The 5,113-nt window shown below is 37.3% G+C and overlaps 1 annotated feature.

The window, feature by feature from the left end:
- Positions 1,279-1,780: an enhancer, noted in NCBI's record as "NANOG hESC enhancer chr15:20038117-20038618 (GRCh37/hg19 assembly coordinates)". NCBI's record gives its function as "activates a minimal SCP1, AML or CMV promoter by ChIP-STARR-seq in naive H9 embryonic stem cells {active_cell/tissue: H9 hESC(naive)}" and the evidence as "EXISTENCE:reporter gene assay evidence [ECO:0000049][PMID:30033119]".

The raw sequence follows: 5,113 nt of genomic DNA, 5'->3' as shown, positions 1-5,113 counted from the left end.
TTTCTTTTGATTGAGCAGTTTTGACACACTCTTTTTGTAGAATCCACAAGTGGACATTTGGTGCGCTTTGAGGCATATGGTGGAGAAGGAAATATCTTCACTTAACAACTAGGCGGAAGCATTCTGAGAAACTTCTTTGGGTTGTGTGCATTTATCTTACAGAGTTGAACCATACTTTTGATTGAGCAGCTTTGAAAAACTCTTTTTTAGACTCTGCAAGTGAACATTTTGAGCTCTTTGTGTCCTATGGTGGAAAAGGAAATATCTTCACATAAAAACTATACAGAAGCATTCTGTGAAACTTCTTTGTGATGTGTGCATTCATCTCACAGAGTTGAACATTTCTTTTCATTGAGCAGTTTTGAAACACTCTTTTTGTAGAATCTGCAATGGACATTTGGAGGGCTTTGAAGCCTATGGTGGAAAAGGAAGTAACTTCCCATAAAAACTAGACAGAATCCTTCTTAGAAAATTCTTTCTGATGTGTGCATTCATCTCACATAGTTGAACATTTCTTTTGATTAAGCAGCTTTGAAACACTCTTTTTGTAGAATCTGTAAGTGGACATTTGGAGTACTTTGAGGGTGATGGTCAATAACGCAATATCTTCACTTAATAACTAGACAGAAGCATTCTGTGAAACTACTTTGTGATGAGTGCATTCATCTCAGAGAGTTGAACATTTCTTTTGATTGAGCAGCTTTGAGACACTCTTTTTGTAGAACGTGCAAGTGGATATTTGGAGTGCTTTGAGACCTATGGTGGAAAAGGAAATATCTTCACATAAAAACTATACAGAAACATTCTGACAAGTTTCTTTGTGATGGGTGTATTCAAGTCACAGAATTGAACCTTCCTTTTAATTGAGCAGTTTTGAAACACTCTTTTTGTAGAATCGGCAAGTGGATATTTGGAGAGCTTTGAGGCCTATGATGGAAAAGGAAATATCTTAACATAAAAACTAGACAGAAGCATTCTGAGAAACTTGTTTGTGATCTGTGCATTCATCTCACAGAGTTGAACCTTTCTTTTGATTCAGAAGTTTGGAAACACTCTTTTTGTAGATTCTGCAAGTGAACATTTGGTGCTCTTTGAGGTCTATTGTCGAAAAGGAAATATCTTCACACAAAAACTAGACAGAAGCATTCTGTCAAAATACTTTGTGATATGTGCATTCATATCACGGAGTTGAACCTTACTTTTGATTGAGCATTTTTGAAACACCCTTTTTGTACTATCTGCAAGTGGACATTTGGAGTGCTTTGAGGCCTATGGTGGAAAAGGAATATCTTCATATAAAAACTAGACAGAAGCATTCTGACAACTTTCTTTGTGATGTGTGCATTCATCTCACAGAGCTGAACCTTTCTTTTGATTGAGTAGTTTGGAAACTCTCTTTTTGCTGAATCTGTAAGTGGATATTTGGAGTGCTTGGAGGCCTATATTGGAAAAAGAAATATCTTCATATAATAACTAGACAGAAGCATTCTGAGAAACTTCTTTGTGATGTGTGCATTCATCTTACAGAGTTGAACCTTTCTTTTGATTGAGCAGTATTGAAACACTCTTTTTGAAGAATCTGCAAGTGGATATTTGGAGCGCTTTGAGGTCTATTTTGGAAAAGGAAATATCTTCACATAAAAACTAGACAGAAGCATTCTGTCAAACTACTTTGTGATATGTGCATTCATCCCACGGAGTTGAACCTTACTTTTGATTGAGCAATTTTAAAACACCCTTTTTGTAGTATCAGCAAGTGGACATTTGGAATGCTTTCAGGCCTATGGTGGAAAAGGAAATATCTTCAAGTTAAAACTAGACAGAAGCATTCTGACAAACTTCTTTGTGATGTGTGCATTCATCTCACGGAGCTGAACCTTTCTTTTGATTGAATAATTTGGAAACTCTCTTTTTGTTGATCTGCAAGTGGACATTTGGAGTGCTTTGAGGCCTGTGGTGAAAAGGAAATATCTTCACATAAAAACTAGACAGAAGCTTTCTGAGCAACTTCTTTGTGATGTGTGCATTCATCTCACAGAGTTGAAACTTTCTTTTGATAGAGCAGCTTTGAAACACTCTTTTTGTAGAATCTGCAAGTGGACATCAGGAGCGCTTTGAGGCCTATGGCGGAAAAGGAAATATCTTCACATAAAAACTATACAGAAGCATTGTCACAAACTTCTTTGGGATCCGTGCTTTCATGTCACAGAGTTGAAAATTTCTTTTCATTAATCTATTTTGAAATACTCTTTTGGTAGAATCTGCAAGTGGACATTTGGAATTCTTTGAGGCCTACGGTGGAAAAGGAAATATCTTCACAGAAAAACTACACAGAAGTATTCTGGGAAATTTCTTTGGGATGTGTGCATGCATCTCACAGAGTTGAACTTTCTTTTGATTGAGCAGTTTGAAACACTCCTTTTGTAGAATCTGCAAAGGGACATTTGGAGTACTTTGCGGCATATGGTGGTAAAGGAAATGTCTTCACATAAAAACTAGACAGAAGCATGCTGACAAACTTCTTTGTGTTGTTTGCATTCATCTCACAGAATTGAACCTTTCTTTCCATTGAGCAGTTTTGAAACACTGTTTTTGTACAATCTGCAAGTGGACATTTGGAGCACTTTGAGGCCTATGGTGGAAAAGGAAATATCTTCACTTAAGAACTAGACAGAATATCCTGAGAAACTTCTTTGTGATGTGTGCATTCATCTCACAGAGTTGAATATTTCTTTTCAATGAGCAGTTTTGAAACACTCTTTTTGTAGAATCTACAAGTGGACACTTGGTGCCCTTTGAGGCCTATGGTGGAAAAGGAAATATCTTCTCATAAAACATGGACAGAAACATTCTGAGAAACTTCTTCATGATGTGTATATTCATCTCAAAGGTTTGAACCTTTCTTTTGATTGAACAGTTTGGAAACACTCTTTTTGTACTATCTGCAAGTGGACATTTGGAGGGCTCTGAGGCCCCTGGTGGAAAAGGAAATATCTTCACTTAAGAACTGCAAAGAATCATTCTGAGAAAATACTTTGTGATGTGTGCATTCATCTGACAGAGTTGAACCTTACTGTTGATTGAGCAGATTTGAAACATCCTTTTTGAACTATCTACAAGTGGACATTTGGAGTGCGTTGATGCCTATGGTGTAAAAGTATATATCTTTACATAAAAACTAGACAGAAGGATTCTCGGAAATGTCTTTTTTATGTGTGCATTCATCTCACAGAGTTGAAACTTTCTTTTGATTGACTAGTTTGGAAAATCTTTTTGAAGGATCTGCAAGTGGACATTTGGATCACTTTGAGGCCTATGGTGGAAAAGGAAATATCTTCATATAAGAAGTAGACAGAAACATTCTGAGAAACTTCTTTGTGATGTGTGCATTCTTCTCACAGAGTTGAACCTTTCTTTTGATTGGGCAGTTTTGAAACAATCTTTTTGTAGAATATGCAAGTGGACATTTGGAGAGCCTTGTGGCGTATGGTGGAAAAGAAATATCTTCACATAAAAACTAGGCTGAAGAATTCTGACAAACTTCTTTGTGATGTGTGCATTTGTCTCGCAGAGATGAACCTTTCTTTTGATTGAGCAGCTTTGAAACACTTTTTTTGTAGAATCTGCAAGTGGACATTTGGAGCGCTTTGAGGAGTGTAATGGAAAATGAAATATCTTCATGTATTAACTACGCAGAAGTATTCTGAGAAACTTCTTTGTGACGAGTGCATTCATCTCACAGAGTTGAAACTTTCTTTTGATTTTCTAGTTTGGAAACACTCCTTTTGTAGAATCTCCAAGTGGACATTTGGAGCGCTTTGTGGCCTATGGTAAAAAAGGAAATACCTTCACATAAAAACTAGACAGAAGCATTCTAACAAACTTCTTTGTGATATGTGCATTCATCTCACAGAGTTTAACTTTACTTTTGATTGAGCTGTTTTGAAACACCCTTTTTGTACTGTCTGCAAGTGTACATTTGGAGCACTTTGAGGCCTCTGGTGGAAAAGGAACTATCTTCACATAAAAACTAGACAGAAGCATTCTGACAAACTTCTTTGTGATGTGTGCATTCTTCTCAGAGAGTTGAACCTTACTTTCGATTGACCAGTTTTGAAACACCGTTTTTTTTTCTGTTTTTTATTTTTTTTGGCTTTCTCTTTTTTTTATTATTGTTATTATTATTCTTTAAGTTTTAGGGTACATGTGCACAATGTGCAGGTTCGTCACATATTTATCCATGTGCCGTCTTGGTGTGCTGCACCCATTAACTCGCCATTTAGCGTTAGGTATATGTCATAATTCTGTCCCTTCCCCCTCCCCCCACCCCACAACAGTCCCCAGAGTGTGATGTTTCCCTTCCTTTGTCCATGTGTTCTCATTGTTCAATTTCCACCTATGAGTGAGAACACATGTTGTTTGGTTTTTTGTCCTTTTGTATTCCCTTTGAAAACTGGCAAAAGACAGGGATGCCCACTCTCACCACTCCTATTCAATATAGTGTTGGAAGTTCTGGCCAGGGCAATCAGGTAGGAGAAGTGAATAAAGGGCATTCAATTAGGAAAAGAGGAAGTCAAATTGTCCCTGTTTGCAGATGACATGATTGTATATCTAGAAAACCCCATTGTCTCAGCCGAAAATCTGCTTAAGCTGATAAGCAACTTCAGCAAAGTCTCAGGACACAAAATCAATGTAAAAAAATCACAAGCATTCTTGTACACCAATAGGAGACACACAGAGAGCCAAATCATGAGTGAAATCCCATTCACAATTGCTTCAAAGAGAATAAAATAAATAGAAATCCAACTTACAAGGGATGTGAAGGACCTCTTCAAGGAGAACTACAAACCACTGCTCAAGGAAATAAAAGAGGATACAAACAAGTGGAAGAACATTCCATGCTCATGGGTTGGAAGAATCAATATCGTGAAAATGGCCATACTGCCCAAGGTAATTTATAGATTCAATGCCATCCGCATCAAGTTACCAATGACTTTCCTAAGAGAATTGGAAAAAAACGACTTTAAAGTTCATATGGAACCAAAAAAGAGCCCGCATCGCCAAGTCAATCCCAAGCCAAAACAACAAAGCTGGAGGGATCACGCTACCTGAC

The sequence above is a fragment of the Homo sapiens genome, chromosome 15 (assembly GCF_000001405.40).
Source record: "Homo sapiens chromosome 15, GRCh38.p14 Primary Assembly".
NCBI lineage: Eukaryota > Metazoa > Chordata > Mammalia > Primates > Hominidae > Homo > Homo sapiens.
Note: the sequence above shows the minus strand (reverse complement) of the source record. Positions and strands in the feature narration are given on the sequence as shown.